The sequence below is a fragment of the Homo sapiens genome, chromosome 2 (assembly GCF_000001405.40).
Source record: "Homo sapiens chromosome 2, GRCh38.p14 Primary Assembly".
NCBI lineage: Eukaryota > Metazoa > Chordata > Mammalia > Primates > Hominidae > Homo > Homo sapiens.
Genome location: NC_000002.12, coordinates 225,457,485 through 225,474,896, shown reverse-complemented (window position 1 = coordinate 225,474,896; position 17,412 = coordinate 225,457,485). Strand labels below are relative to the sequence as shown.

Genomic DNA, 17,412 nt, shown 5'->3' with positions numbered 1-17,412 from the left:
AACAAAGGAGTACAAGACAGGGATGCCCTCTCTCACCACTCCTATTCAACATAGTGTTGGAAGTTTTGGCCAGGGCCATCAGGCAGGAGAAAGAAATAAAGGGTATTCAATTAGGAAAAGAGGAAGTCAAATTGTCCTTGTTTGCAGATGACATGATTGTATATCTAGAAAACCCCATCATCTCAGCCCAAAATCTCCTTAAGCTGATAGGCAACTTCAGCAAAGTCTCAGGATACAAAATCAATGTGCAAAAATCACAAGGATTCTTATACACCAATAACAGACAAACAGAGAGCCAAACCATGAATGAATTCTCATTCACAATTGCTTCAAAGAGAATAAAATACCTAGGAATCCAACTTACAAGGGATGTGAAGGACCTCTACAAGGTGAACTACAAACCACTGCTCAACGAAATAAAAGAGGATACAAACAAATGGAAGAACATTCCATGCTCATGGATAGGAAGAATCAATATTGTGAAAATGGCCAAACTGCCCAAGGTAATTTATAGATTCAATGCCATTCCCATCAAGCTACCAATGACTTTCTTCACAGAATTGGAAAAAACTACTTTAAAGTTCATATGGAACCAAAAAAGAGCCCTCATCGCCAAGTCAATCCTAAGCCAAAAGAACAAAGCTGGAGGCATCACGCTACCTGACTTCAAACTATACTACAAGGCTACAGTAACCAAAACAGCATGGTACTGGTACCAAAAGAGAGATATAGACCAATGGAACAGAACAGAGCCCTCAGAAATAATGCCACACATCTACAACTATCTGATCTTTGACAAACCTGACAAAAACAAGAAATGGGGAAAGGATTCCTTATTTAACAAATGGTGCTGGGAAAACTGGCTAGCCATATGTAGAAAGCTGAAACTGGATCCCTTCCTTACACCTTATACAAAAATTAATTCAAGATGGATTCAAGACTTAAATGTTAGACCTAAAACCATAAAAACCCTAGAAGAAAACCTAGGCAATACCATTCAGGACATAGGCATGGGCAAGGACTTCATGTCTAAAGCACCAAAAGCAATGGCAACAAAAGCCAAAATTGACAAATGGGATCTAACTAAACTAAAGAGCTTCTGCACAGCAAAAGAAACTACCATCAGAGTGAACAAGCAACCTACAGAATGGGAGAACATTTTTGCAATCTACTCATCTGACAAAGGGCTAATATCCAGAATCTACAAAGAACTCAAACAAATTTACAGGAAAAAAACAAACAACCCCATCAACAAGTGGGCAAAGGATATGAACAGACACTTCTCAAAAGAAGACATTTATGCAGGCAACAGACATATGAAAAAAGGTTCATCATCACTGGCCATCAGAGAAATGCAAATCAAAACCACAATGAGATACCATCTCACACCAGTTAGAATGGTGATCATTAAAAAGTCAGGAAACAACAGGTGCTGGAGAGGATGTGGAGAAATAAGAACACTTTTACACTGTTGGTGGGACTGTGAACTAGTTCAACCATTGTGGAAGACAGTGTGGCGATTCCTGAGGGATCTAGAACTAGAAATACCATTTGACCCAGCCATCCCATTACTGGGTATATACCCAAAGGATTATAAATCATGCTGCTATAAAGACACATGCACACGTATGTTTATTGTGGCACTATTCACAATAGCAAAGACTTGGAACCAACCCAAATGTCCAACAATGATAGACTGGATAAAGAAAATGTGGCACATATACACCATGGAATACTATGCAGCCATAAAAAACGATGAGTTCATGTCCTTTGTAGGGACATGGATGAAGCTGGAAACCATCATTCTCAGCAAACTATTGCAAGGACAAAAAACCAAACACCGCATGTTCTCACTCATATGTGGGAATTGAACAATGAGAACACTTGGACACAGGAAGGGGAACATCACACACTGGGGCCTGTTGTGGGGTAAGCGGAGTGGGGAAGGATAGCATTAGGAGATATGCCTAATGTAAATGACAAGTTAATGGGTGCAGCACACCAACATGGCACATGTATACATATGTAACAAACCTGCACGTTGTGCACATGTACCCTAGAACTTAAAGTATAATTAAAAAATAAAAGAAAAAAAAGAAAATCAAAGGAGTAACACTGCATTTTTCTATTGCTAGCAAGGAAAGAGATATCCCATCCAATTTCTTTCTAGATAATTCATACTGAAACAGTTTTGAACAAAAATTTAAATTAAAAAAATTACTCTTTGGACATAAATGTTTCTAACGATGATGAACTTCCTATGATTTTTACACAGCCCTCCCTGAGCATATCTTGAAAATTGGTCCCTTTTTTGACTACTCAGGGTCATAATTAAGAGCATAAATATTGTACCCTGATTGAAAATAGGCCCATGTCTTTAGGGACTGTTTAATTTTGAAGGACTCTTACCTCTGTACCAAATGCTGTCAGGCTGCAATGCACTTATGCTATGCCTCACAGTTAGCCAAACACACTCACATTCTTCAGGGGTCAGTGGGGCTATGGGAGCAGATTCCTCTTGTCCTGCCTTTTCCCTGTCTACCCCTTCAAATTCCTGCTTCTTACTTGCTGCTGGCTGAACATGCATAGGCAAACATGATAATTAGCTCCAAATAAAAGTAAAAAGCAACAAAATGAGAGCCTGAACAAATGAGTAGACATGTATGACATCAAAGGTGATGTATTTTAGTTTTTTTCTTCTTGAGAAGCAGGATGAGTCGTGCGAGCCAGATTCTTTGGACTGGTTGGGTGGGTTCAGATCCCAGCTCTACCTCTTGCTAGACATATGGCTTTAAGCAAGTCACTTAAAATCTTAATGCTTAGTTAATCCACTGATAAAATGGGAATAATATTCATATCTCCCTCGAAGGATGGTAGGGAGATTAAATGAGGTAATACATACCCAGTTCAGGGAATATAATAAGTACTCATTAAACAGTCTTATTATCATTTTTACCTCTTGGTTAAATTCTGTATGTTAAAATTAGTAGCTTTGTGATGTCTGATAGGTTTGCTGCATACTAATGGGTTCCTTGAAGCATTTTAGCTGTCACAGAGAGATAGCTGAATATGGCTTTGAAGGCAGAGCTAGTATCAGTCCTGGTTTTGCCATTTGCTGTGCACATTTAGAAGCAGCTTACACTCTCTCAACTTGTTTTCTCCTGTGTAAATGTGATAACACATATTTCACAGGGAATGCGTGGAGATTACATAAGATAATGCCTACATAAAGCACTTTATCTAAGACCAGCGACTTAGTAAAACACACTACAAATATTTGCTGAAATCAACTGCAGCCATGCAGGTGTTTGGATAGGGTAGCTGCCAAGATATTTCTGTTAATATGTTACTATATGTCTAATTTAGTGACCCACCCCAAATTACAGTAAGCTAAGTCATTTAAAATTATGTTTAAATATACCTGTGCCTCAATATTTTCTTGCACGCAGAGAATAAAAAAACTATTTGAGAGAAAATATTATTTTCAAACATCAGATTTTTAAATATTCGTGACTATAGTCATATTCAAGGATCAAAGTCACAAAAGAAGCTGGTTTTCTAAGCAGTAAAATAATTAAAATTCATCCAAACCATTCTGCGTCACCACATTCACTCACGTGTATAGATATAGACACACATGAGGACATGAATAGCTGTTCAGGACTGGATTTTAAATTGACAGTTGCTTCATTTGAGGACAACCATGTTTATAGTACATGCAGTAATGCAGACATGGTATCTGGCAGACATTTGTTGCAAAGTGGCTAGCATCTGTTTCATTTCCACAAACAATGGAGGTTTGTCTAAATCCCTCTATATTGATTTGAAGGTCAATCTTCAATTTTACTTTAACATATTTTGTGGGGAAGTTCAAAGATAAGGAAGCATATTAATAAGATTTAGCATCTTTTTTACATTGCCATCTAAAAAGAAATCAAGAAACCCCCTGCCTCAGTCTCCCAGGTGGGAAGTCTTCCCAGCTGGGAAGGAGGCTGAGGTAGGAGGACTGCTTGAGCTCAGGAGTTTGAGACCAGCTAGGCAACATAGAGAGACCCCATCTCAATATATATACACACACACACACATATACATACATATATATTTCATGTAAGATCTGTATATGTAAAATCTTACATTTAAAAAAATAGTTCTTACAAGCCAATGCAATCATGTGTTCTAGGTTCTTGCTTTTGTTTTTTAACCACAGTCCCAAGTAAGGAGTTGGCTATTCACACTTTAGAACACTGTAAGACAGCACGTATAATTTCCTGTATTCTGTGGAAAATGGGGATTTCTCAGCAGGCATTCCCCCTATGATGTTTTTATTCCAATTGCTTTTTACCCACCAGAAATGTTGAGTATCCTTTTCCTCAAGTGTGGCACAAATTTCAGCAAGACTTAACAGAAACTCAAAAGAGCTTGTACCATATATGCCAGACTGCCATGTATGCCCATATACCATATATGCCCCTAAATTTGGGGGTTTCATATAGTGCTCATGAATAGGTCAAATTGAAACCTCACGGTATTTTACTTTTATTTCTACTAACTGGGGAAATGGGTGTGAGTGCATATGCATACAATAAAAGAATGAAGAGAAGTGAAGAAAATAGAGAAGGGCAAGATTTTTCCATGGTATTGTTTCAAGGGAAGAGGCTTATCAAGTCTTTTACTTTAGGCACAAAAAAAATCAGGTCACAAATAACATTAGGAAAACAAACCCATTTTTTCACTGTGTGGTGGGTTCTAAGTGGAAAATGCACAATGCAATTACTTACATTTATGTATTGCTTAATAGATAAGACAGATGAAATATACTTCATTGTGAAATCTCCAGAACAGGCCTGTTAGCTATTAGGTGTTAGGCCCGTTAGCTATTAGCTAGTATTTTTTTATTATTCTACTTCAAGCTCTGGGGTACATGTGCAGAACATGCAGTTTTGTTACACAGGTATACACGTGCCATGGTGGTTTGCTGCACCCATTAACCTGTCACCTACATTAGGTATTTCTCCTAATGCTATCCCTCCCCTAGCCCCCCATCCCCCGACAGGTCACAGTGTGTGATGTTCCCCTCCCTGTGTCCATGTGTTCTCATTGTTCAACTCCAATTTATGAGTGAGAACATACAGTGTTTTGTTTATTGTTCTTGTGTTAGTTTGCTGAGAATAATGGTTTCCAGCTTCATCCATGTCCCTGCAAAGGACACGAACTCATCCTTCTTTATGGTTGCATAGTATTCCATGGTGTATATGTGCCACATTTTCTTTATCCAGTCTATCATTGATGGACATTTGGGTTGGTTCCAAATCTTTGCTATTGTGAATAGTGCCACAATAAACATAGTATGCATGTGTCTTTATAGTAGAATGATTTATAATCCTTTGGGTATATACCCAGTAATGGGATTGCTGGGTCAAATGTTATTTCTGGTTCTAGATCCTTGAGGAATTGCCACATTATCTTCCACAATGAACTAATTTACAACAGTGAAAAAGCATTCCTATTTCTCCACATCCTCTCCAGCATCTGTTGGTTCCTGACTTTTTAATGATCATCATTCTAAATGGCATGAGATGGTATCTCATTGTGGTTTTGATTTGCATTTCTCTAATAACCAGTGATGACAAGCATTTTTTCATATGTTTGTTGGCTGCATAAATGTCTTATTTTGAGAAGTGTCTATCCATATCCTTTGCCCACTTTTTGATGGGGTTGTTTTTTTCTTGTAAATTTGTTTAAGTTTTTTGTAGATTCTGGATATTAGCCCTTTGTCAGACGGATAGATTGCTAAAATTTTCTCCCATTCTGTAGGCTGCCTGTTCACGCTGATGATAGTTTCTTTTGCTGTGCAGAAGCTCTTTAGTTTAATTAGATCTCATTCGTCAATTTTGGCTTTTGTTGCCATTTATTAGGTAGTGTTTTTTTCCTTATTTTTTCCAATTGGAATGAGAGTCTTGAGGTACTACCTGGCCAAATGGCAGAGAAATTCTTAATGGCAAGGCTAGAATTTAGTAATTCAAATAAATAGTCCAAACTATTACCTTTACAGGTTACACAGAATCATTATCACAATTAGAAAGAAACTCCTCTTTTTGTCTTTTTTGTCCTCTTCATGTCCTCAGTGACTTATTCCTCCTCTGTCTCCTTAGACAGACTCTTGTCCAATTGTTTATTAGAATGGCTAGATTATTTAAATCAATGGTTTTGTGTATTGCTGTAGGTTAATTTCCTAAAGTGCTCCTTTGATCATACCTCTTTTTCTCAATGATTTTCTATTGTCTAAGTTTCTTCATTTATCATTGAATCACACTCTTAATCTGAATGCCAATTCTTCCTAGAATATATTGCCCACTTCAGTTGAAACAGTGGTTTGAATGACTGTATTTCTTTCCCCACTTGTTTGTGTCCTGTTTCTTGTCTATTCTTCCTTTCTCACTGGCCTGTCTTGGCTTCCTGTGTTAGTTTCCTAGGGCTGCCATTAAAAGAACCACATGCTGGATGGCTTAAAATAACAGAAATGTATTCTTTTGAAGTTCTGGAGGCTAGAAGTCCAATTCTTGGCATTCCTGGGCTTATCAACACATCATTCCAATCTCTGCCTACGTCTACACATGGCTGTTTTTCCTCTTCGTGTCTGTCTCCTTTTCTTTTATTATAAGGAAGCCAGTCATATCAGAGTAGGCCCACCTAATCCAGCATGATCTCATCTTAACTTGACTACATCTACAAAGACTTTATTTCCAAATAAGGTTATATTTATAGGAACCCAGAAGTTGGGCCTTCAACATCCTAATGTAGGACACAATTCAATCCAAACATTTCCCTAAAAGTGATTATATTATTCATCTCTCAGTGCTCAATATATGCCCAAACTCTATCAAGAGGGTTTTTCTTGTTTCTCCAGTTCACCCTTTTTTGAACTCTCATAGGCTTGAATGACTCCCTGGAGTACTCACTATGTCTGCTTTTTTTTCACCCCTCTATCCCAGGAGACTTGGAGTAGTGGCCAGCATGCAGTAGGAACTCACTAAGTATTTGTTGAATGAATGATTGTATTCAAAAAGTGAATGAATTTATACTACATACTTCAGTTATTTTTGTAAGTGTGGTGGCATAGTGTTATTTTCTGTCTTTAACTGCTCCTCTAAGGAAGTGTGAAAGACATTATTTTAACCCTATTTTGTATCCCAGAGCCACAGAGTCTTGCATGGAATTCTCACTTGGATAGTAATCTGATCAATGCTTTGCTAATTGATTGGTCTAGAAAAATTTGATTGAAAGGCAGTGAGACTTTGATAGTCTATTCTGAGGTATTTTTTAAAAATGGAAGTCTATTTCAGGTAGGAAAAAGGGCAAGGCCAAGTAGATTGGGTGACTAATGTTTTGTTTATACTGTTACAGTAGGTAGCTAATCAGACGTGAACAGGGCAGGAGAGGCATCAACCACAACAACCCCCACCACCCCAATCAGGAATGTCAGGTGACCATCAGTTGATGGTCAGGCAGTTTTTAACTGTCTCTCTAAAATAATAACTGGTTGCAGCTGGTGCAAGGGGTGAGTCAGTCTCCCAATAGGTAGGAAAAACCTGAAACTGGTGATCAGTGGCTTCCGGATAAGAAGATCTCAGGGCTCACACATGTGCACTAAGAGGCAAAATGGTGGAGTTTAATTGGTATCTGACCTCTAAGGACATTCGGCTGGTAAGGGAAGAATGCCTCAAGTGAGTATGCGTACAACTCCGGTAAACACACTGCGCATGTTCTCCTCCCAAGCACTGACAGGCCACTGCGCAGGCAGACAGCCCACCCCAAGGAAAGAATAAGGGGAGAAGGAACACAAGATCCGGAAGTATGCCAACGTAGAAAACCCCAAGTCAAAAGGTCAAACAGCACATTTGTCTTTCAAGTCACCCACTTGGCCCTCTCCCAAGTGTACTTTCCTTCCTTTTGTTCCTGCTCTAAAGCATTTTAATAAACTTTTACTCCTGCTCTAAAACTTGCCTCGGCCTCTCCTTCTGCCTTATGCCCCCCTCAGCTGAATTCTTTCTTCTGAGGAGGCAAGAATTGAGGTTGCCGCAGGCCTGTATGGATTTGCAGCCGTAACAATACCAAATACAAATTCTCTCAATATTATAAAAGATTCCAGATATCTGGCTGATCAGAATTGTTTAGATACCATCTTGACTTACCTTTTCATACCTCATGTTTTGACTTTTTGGATGCAAGTGGCTCTTGACTTTTTGGAAGCAAGTGGTTCTCTCCTTTTGCATGTTTTATTAGAAATATATAGTGCTAAACAGCATTTTCAACTGGAAAATCATAAGAATAACTCCTGCAGTCTCCACTCTTAACTTTGCATAACCCCTAATCAGTTGCACAATGGGGAGCAGAGCAAAGCTCACACCTGCGGTCTTAAATATGACAAATAATGCTTGAAAGAAAATAATTAAAATATTTTTCCACCTTTCTATTAATGTTTTCACTTAAGTAGTCCCTTTATCCCCCAAGTAAGCCCAAATGCTCACTTTCTAAACCCTGAAGAAAAAAAATCTAGAAAATATAATAGGCACTCATGACACCCACAGAAAATGAACAAAAGCAAAGAATTCAAACAAAGTCCCTTATATTCCATATAGGAATGAGAAAATAGAAAACAGTATTTGTCAAGAGGGCATATAAATCTTCAAGTGTTTGAGGAAAAGCATTTTGGAGAAATAGTATATTCAGAAAATGTTGTGTATGTGTTATTTGGTTAGTTTGGTGTGTTATGACAGCACAAAAAGAGATCGGGCTTCTCCAGGAGTTGCAAAGTGCTCAAGCCATTCACGTGGCTGGTTCCGGCTGCCAGGCCTACATTTGCAATGTAAATTAGCAAGCGGCATGGTGTCTTCAATTGTAGGTGAGCCTTAATAGGCCTGCTGATTGCTTCTTAAGAGTGTGGATTTTGTGCAGAAGAAATTGCTGAATGTTAGGGAACAGAGCATCTCACCAAAAACCCCACAAAGGGCAGAAGTGATTGAGTGTAGAAGAAAAGATTAAGTACACTTTAGTAAGTGATTGTGTTGAAGAAAGAGTTCAGAGTTCTGTCCACTGAAATAAGTCATGGGACACCTGACATGTCTTTCAACAATGCACTCAAGGACACAGAGAGTGTTTTTTGTTTGTTTGTTTGTTTTTTGAGACAGAGTCTCATACTGTCACCCAGGCTGGAGTGCAGTGGCGCGATCTCGGCTCACTGCAAACTCTGCCTCCCGGGTTCACTCGATTCTCCTGCCTCAGCCTCCTGAGTAGCTGGGATTACAGGCGCCCGCCACCATGCCCACCTACTTTTTTGTATTTTTAGTAGAGACGGGGTTTCACTATGTTGGCTAGACTGGTCTCAAACTCCTGACCTTGTGATCCGCCCACCTCGGCCTCCCAAAGTGCTGTGATTACAGGCATGAGCCAATGCGCCCGGCCCCAGAGAATGGTTTTAGAATGTATATAGATCTAGGAAGCACCCAACAACATAAATTTATTTGTGAGTCTATCCCAGGAGGTGTAACTCTAAGAAAAATGTAGGGTCACAGAGGTTGACAGAATATACAAATGGGCATATCTGCAGGAGGGTCAGGTTCATGCACAAGTAGAGATCTGCTTTGAGATAGCAGGCCTGGAATTCAGGTCAAGAGGACTCCTTTTGTCCCAGTGGCAAAGAAAATCATGCCCAAAGGGTAAGTCGATATGTCCTCCACTTCTCATCTATTTGCTTTTGGTTTTATGGGGAACCTAAGGAAATTTGCTATTTTCCTTATATCAGCTCTTTTAGATACTTAAAAATGGTATCTTGCATTGCCTTCTAGTATTAGATTCCTAAGTTTGTACCATAGAAAAGGGTGAGACGAAAATACTCATAACTTTTGCCAGTAATTGAATAAAAGTCTCTAACTAGCTCACCCTATGCTGAGGTTGTTACACAAATATTATCCCAATGTGAAATAGACAGTTTCAGAGGAAAGAGGAAAACGAACACGCATTACAGATAAAAATGAAACTGAAACTGCCTGACTACTGGTACCTGCTCAGTCAATGATCGTCTCTTCCCTTTGCAAAATGAGGGCACATCTGTGCCTATTGCTCACGTTCTTACTCTCCCCACCAAACCACCTATGGGTTGGAAAGATATACTTTAATCTAGAACAGAAAACTAACGTGGATTGCTTTCCCATAGCCTGTACACTTATAAGTATCAGAAATTTCATGTTAACAATTGTTTAGCTTCTCCTTAATCCAAAAGTTCTGGTAACCATGGATCCACAAGCCCCTGTCCCTGCAATGGCCGGGAAGTGAGCAGGCTCATGCGCTGCCCAGTTACCTGAAGTCACCATCCCTCCCTACTGACCTAGCATTGGAATTTCTCCATCGTTCATGCTCCCTTCCTGGCCCGCAAAGTATTTTCCCTGTGATCCAGAGATGTCTACCTACTTCTCTGCACCTTCTCCCACAGACCCTCTCACTCTGTTTTTCCCCCAGGTTTCATGAAATGGGGTTGCAGGGTGACACATAGGATGTTTATCACAAGGTGCCCTTGTGTCCAATATTTGCACCAGGGATAAGGAAGAGGCAATTGAGCAGAGGGAGAGGTCCAGCTGCAATGCAGTCTTGATGTCAGCCTTGACTGACACCACAGAGAATTCTGGAGTTAACATGGCTGTCAGAATCATCCTGCATTTAGCTTTTAGACTCCTGCCTCAATCGGTCTCTGTTTGTGGGTCTCCCTACTGTTCACCACACACCTAGCAGCTAGGAAGACAGGCTTTCCTTGAAGGAACTTTTGGCAGAGCATCTCTGAATGCACCACATCCTGCAAGCCAGTTTGCTGGGTCCTCCTTCCACAAACCCTCCCATCTGAGACAGCATTTAAAAAGTCACTGACAGGGCTGTTCTTTGTTGCATTCTAGCTGTAATCTCTACAACTGCTCTAAGGATCCCACACTTCTGTAGCTCCAGAGGGTAACCAGGATGAACTCCACAGCTGCCCCTCCACACAAGCAGAGTTTTCCAGGATTCCCAAAGTGCATGCTGCTCACAATCCACAGCCAGATAAACTCTGTGCTTATCCTGCTATTGCCTGCCACTCTTCATCACCCCAGTGCTTACTAAGTCTCCTAAAAAAGACCTGCATAGGGATTTTCTGGTAGCATATAAAGGAAAGGATGAGATGTGGAAGAAAAGAACTCCAAATGATTTGACCGAAGTCATTTTGTCCACACAGCACAATTTATCCAAATGGCACAATTAAATCTTGATTGACAATAAAATAAGCCCAGCACTTATTTTTGTATTTGTTTTTCACTTGCTGGTAACTTTAAAAGACATTGTGGGCAGGTTCCCCTGCCCTGAAGTATTCACTATTACAAACAGAGTTGAATAATACATTTTTCAAAGTAGGAGCACCTGAAAAAGAGATCAAATTATTCACAAATAAAATGTTCATCAAAGACACATGAGTGTTACAAATACGAGAAAACACATGATTGATTGACTGATCACCTATTCAATTTGACAGAACTATTTCTGCAAATTTGTTTGCCACTAAATACTCTGCTACAGAATCATTCCAAATGCCACAGATAAAACTGGGCTTGTCTTTATCCCACACTCTAGCACTGAAAACAGGGCTGCTCAAGGTTTTCACCCTGTTATGACAGCTAACTTTAAATCCAAGACTGATGCAATGCAGGTGTAAGCCTGCCTTAGCAATGCCTGTTTGGAATCCACAGTGTTAGAATGTACTATATGCATATATTATACCACTAGAGGGAAGAGGCAGCTGATGGACTTAATTGGGGCACCCCTCTCTAGTTTACCTGTCTCCACCTACTCATTTCTTATCTAACCTGCTTCATGATTTAAGTTACATGTCTGGTCTGTATAAGTTATTTGGGTTTGAATCTTCTGCTACAGATCATTAGTACATAGACACCAGATAATCACAACCATTTAAAAATATTGACACGGCTAAGATTATCCGGACTAAACAATCAAAATCAATGTTGTGAAATGCTCTTGGGGTAAACAGTCAGATGCCACTGGAAGGCAAAACAGGTCAGTTTTTTTAATGGACCAACTGAAGCTACTAGAGGGGGCTCTAAATTATATTTCAATCTGACTAGAACTCAGTATTACTAAAAATACTTCTATTGTCTGACATTCTGATTGTGCTCTGATTCAGGTCATTCACATTTGCGAAGTCAGGGATTTCAATGTGGTTTATGGGGAATTGCATTTCCTGGGAGCTGGCCTGGAAATGTATGATCTAATAAGATCAAGAAGATGAATAGAAGATGTCTTTCTCCTCTGACCTATGCATAACATCATCCGAGTTATAAAGTCATTCATTGGGATGGAAGAATTGGAAACTGGAGCCTTCTAGTCTGGGTGGGTGCATTTGGTCAGGATAATGGGTAAAACTTCTCAAGGCACAAAAGAAAGGTGAAGTCAGGTCTTGATGGAATGATGATGGGAAGAAGAAAGAGACAGGAAGAGAACACACAGAAAGAAAGTGCAAAATGAAAGAAAAGAAATGTACTCAACCTTCATTTCAAACATAAATCCACATTTTCATCATTCTTATGACTTAAACTTTCAGATCTTTTTTCCCAAGTTTAGTAACAATCACTTCCATGTACATTGATTTAGAAATATTTACAGAAATATATTTAGAATAGCAAATCCAATGATCTAAGCTTGAGTATTAATTAAATAAACCTATGCAACTATGCAGTGTATATGTACACAGTACACATTTATATGTGCAAGTTTATTTGATGAGATATTATTTCTTTATATGACATACAGACAGACTGCAGGGGGAAATCACTTTCTAATTAGGATTGAGTCCTTTTGAAATTTACATTTCTAATTAATTATTGTTGATGTTGAGACACCCACATTCAATTATACCGCAATCTGTGACAGAAGATACCTGTTTTCACTCAAATAAATAATAAAACAAAAGTACATAAATTATTGTCTTTCCTAAATTAACAATGACACTAAACTTGAAAAGAAATTAAAAGTCTATAATAATTATTATCACCAATGATTCAGAACCTAGCAGATTTTTCACTAACAGATCTGTTTAACAGACAGAATGAGGACTGGCTGCTTTTGTCAATGAAGATTATCTTATCTCCAATCCATGGAGAATAATGAAATTTTAGGGATATACTTTGTAGATAAAAGAATTTTTGGATTTCCCTCCTGCCCTGAGATGGTCTCCAAAATAAAATATGGTACAAGCTATGAAGCAAAAAGTAGGACAGAGACATCTGAAGACCAATGATGAAAGGTAAAAGTTACAAGGAGGTCTACCTCCGTAGACACAGAAAGAGACCAGTTTATCTTTCAAACTCACTCAGTCTTCCACTACCAGAAGCATATTCCAGGAACAGACTTTTCTCTATGGGTCCATTCTTATTTGGCAATATTAGGCAGTTTCTCGTTTTCTGTACAGTGTTCAACTGCCACTTTACAAGGACAGATTGCACAATGAGAAAAGATGTATGGAGGGTTGTGCACAACCTGGGTGCAATTTCAGGCTGGGTGACAATTTCAGTGCTACACACTTGTGTGAAAAAGCCTTGATATGTTTCCAAGTCCCTGAAAGTTTTTGGCACAGGCTTTTCTGGGCCAGAATCTGAGATAACCCAGTTAGACACCTCCACACACAGAACAAATGGTAAGGTGCATCTGGCATTTATTTAGAGGGAGCCATCATTTAGCTTTAAGCAGAACTATTTGCATGGGGAGGAACAATTCTGGTAGAGTTTATGAACAATCCCCACCATGGCAGTGTACAAATGATCACTGATATTCTCTTGGAAAACAAATCTTTTTTTTTTTTTTTTTTTTTTTTTGAGACAGAGTCTCGCTCTGTCGCTCAGGCAGGAGTGCAGTGGCGCGATTTCGGCTCACTGCAAGCTCCGCCTCCCAGGTTCACACCATTCTCTTGCGTCAGCCTCCCGAGTAGCTGGGCCTACAGGTGCCTGCCACCATGCCCGGCTAATTTGGAAAACAAATCTTATCCACGTAATGGATAACCTAACCTCTCTTTCAGTCATCAGAGTAAATTTTGGTCACTTATTGATGGGTATAATGAATTCATCCAACAGGAGTAACATGTTCATCCTGTTTACTAAATGCCAATTTTAAATTCCAAAGCGATGGTCTAGCATAGGCAAACACTTTCTCTCTCTGGCAATCTTAATGAAGGAAAATAAGAATGAACTAAAGTAAGCATATCCAGATAATTCTTCCAAATGGACCAATCGGAAAGTAACCCCTCCTCTCTTACCTTCAGAGAGAGACTAGAAATGTTACACTGATTGATCTTCCTCCATGTGAAGAGAAATATCAAGATTAGAGAAGAATTATTATTACCCACCTCCCAGCATGAAACAATAAACATATCACCAAATGTGACTTTATTTTGTAACTCAGTAAGCTTTCTAATGAAATCTGACAAATAGAAAAATAAGACAAATGAAGAAATTACAAGTTCAGTGTTTTATCAAAGTAATCAGTAAAAATAATCTACCATGAACAACCCTAGTAGAAACTGTCACCTAAAATACATATGTCAAACTGATTAATAAGAAATTGCTACCTTATTAATTATATAGTATCTGTAAGGGGGACTGGTAGCCTCTTGAAATCTTTCAAGAGCTAATATTATGGGTGATAGATAATGTATATACAAAAAAAATCATCATTTGATTGGTTAACTAATTGATTGATTAGAATCCATTCCACACCTAAAGAGGAGTGAATAAGAGACAATGTCATCTTGAATCTTTTAACCTACCTCAATTGCTAGTACTTTCTAATTATAATAAGCTACCTCGAACTGAGTTTCCAAAGCATCAAAACATCAATAGAGGCTGGGCGCTGTGGCTCATGCCTGTAATCCCAGAACTTTGGGAGGCCGAGGTGGGCAGATCACAGGTCAGGAGATCGAGACCATCCGGGCTAACACGGTGAAACCCCATCTCTACTAAAAACACAAAAAAATTAGCCAGGCGTGGTGGCGGGTGCCTGTAGTCCCAGCTACTTGGGAGGCTGAGCTGTAGTCCCAGCTACTTGGGAGGCTGAGGCAGGAGAATGGGGAGAACCCGGGAGGTGGAGCTTGCAGTAAGCTGAGATCACGTCACTGCACTCCAGCCTGGGCGACAGAGCGAGACACCATCTCAAAAAATAAATAAATAAAATAAATAAATAAATAAATAAATAGAGGAAAAAATGTAGCCCTAATCCATTATTAATCAAAGCTTCTGTTGTTCACTTTCAAATGTATATATGCTTAATTATTCAATTTAAGTTTCAGTATGTTGAAGTAATTATATGGAAGCTTAAGTTAGTCTGCAGACATAGTTCAACCATTGTTAGGAGGAGATATTTATTTTCAATCCGTTAAATTTCTTAACAGATTTTTGGAGTTCTTAAAGAAAAAGTACTGTGCAAACATCAGGTGGGAGAGGAAGTACTATGTTAGTCACTGGGGGATACAAACACCAACAAGACATCCTGACTATAACCCTAACCTAAATCCCAATGTCAACACTGCATTGTTGTGCATAAATATTGCTGAGGAAGAAGACAGGTGCATATCAATAACATTAGCACAATGAGAATCCAAATTAAAAACAGATATTAAAAAGTAAACATAATTTAAAATCATTACCATCAACATGTTAAACGGTTTAGCTATATTACATAGATTTTTAATCCATATAACACAGTATGATACAATAAAGCAGAAAGTAATTATGAATATTTCTCACTCTTTGCCCTACATATACTGAAAAATTGGTGAATATGCATCTTTTGTTTCTAGAAAAATAAAGAGAAACTAGAAAGAGACTAAATATGAGGTTGTGGAACTGAAAGCAGAGTAGACCAATGAAAAGTTTAAGCAAAACATGATTCATGTTTAAGAACGAGACCACTGTCCACACTCTCTGTCTGTCCATGGAAAAAGAGGAAATGGATTTAAATTTTACTATCCACAAAGAATTACTTTAAAACCAACACAGCTTCTTGACTAAAGTGGTAAGAAGGAACTAGATGTTTATATTTCCAATAAACCAAAACATACCATGTGAATTTAAATTTTGAGCTGCTAAAGGTGGGACACGTTTAGTGGAAGCACTTAACTGAGCACTCTTACCAAATCTTCACACAGACATGTAAACAATGGAAATGAAGCAGAGATCAGGCTTCTGCTCTTGTGAACCTGGATTTAACAGAATGTTCTTCTTCAGTATGAATCAGAACTCAGAGTTCTGTTTCCCCAGCACAAAGCAGCATTCCTTTTGTTTGGCAATCAGATAAATCTAAGCCTGTGCTATAGTCTATTAAAATAAAATCATTAAGTGATATTTTTTTCTAAATGTAAGGATTAAAGCTATACTAACATTGATTCAATAAAAAAACTATAATTCAATTTTATCTATAGATTCTGACTTGCATTTTGAAATATTAAAACTAAAGAGAATGCCTTAAAGTACGTAGATTTTCTGTCACCCAGGCTGGTGGGCAGTGGCACAATCATGGCTCACTTCAGCCTCAACCTCCCCACTCAAGCGATCCTCCCACCTCAGCCTCCTGAGTAGCTGGGACTACACGTGTTTGCCACCTGTAGTACGCAGAGTACAATAACAACATGTAGAATACAAAAGAGATTCATTTTAAAAATCATTAAAGAAAATGTAAAATGCCTGGCTAATTTTACATTTTCTTCAATGACTCCTTAAATGAATCTCTTTTGTACTGTGCGTATCGTTTTTTTTTCTTAAGTATCGGTGGAAATTAGTTAAGCTGTAACAACCAGGTAACTAAAGAATAAGGAGATAGAACTAAAGCCCAAAAAATTAGTTGCCAGAAAAACATCTTAGAAATGATTCTACATTATTTCTGCATGACCAAATGCTTTTGTTCTAAAAAAACATCATAGATGAGTACTGTTGCCCCTGTAGACTCATCTGGGTATTAAGACAGTTGTTTTCCTCTCATGATGTTTAATACAGAAAAGCAAATGTTTCATTAAGCACTATCTTTTTCCTACCTGCCTGCCACATGACCTTTGGTCTTGATTAACATAATAATGAATTACATTTATCTCTCTGTGTTCACAAATACACTCTTGGGGCCAATAAAATGGCATATGGCATAATTGAGTCATCTGTTCAGTCATAACTATTATTAGCTAAACACTTTCAGTCTGGTGGAAGTTGACAAGAGTCCATCGTGTTCCCTGGACTCAGGGGTTAAGATGTTACTCTGTTCCTTGTTTTAGGTTTAATTTCATTCAGGTTTTCCTATTTTCTTGATACTATGTACAGTAGCAGTGTCTGCTGTCTAGTGTTA

The 17,412-nt window shown here is 38.6% G+C and overlaps 1 protein-coding gene across 4 annotated transcripts in view, besides 1 other annotated feature; it reads right to left on the bottom strand.

Annotated features, from left to right (window-relative positions):
* Nucleotides 1-17,412, bottom strand: part of NYAP2 (neuronal tyrosine-phosphorylated phosphoinositide-3-kinase adaptor 2) — a 305,716-nt gene that overhangs the window by 228,758 nt on the left and 59,546 nt on the right. The window lies entirely within an intron of this gene.
* Nucleotides 7,436-7,936: an enhancer, noted in NCBI's record as "H3K4me1 hESC enhancer chr2:226331677-226332177 (GRCh37/hg19 assembly coordinates)". NCBI's record gives its function as "activates a minimal SCP1, AML or CMV promoter by ChIP-STARR-seq in naive H9 embryonic stem cells {active_cell/tissue: H9 hESC(naive)}" and the evidence as "EXISTENCE:reporter gene assay evidence [ECO:0000049][PMID:30033119]".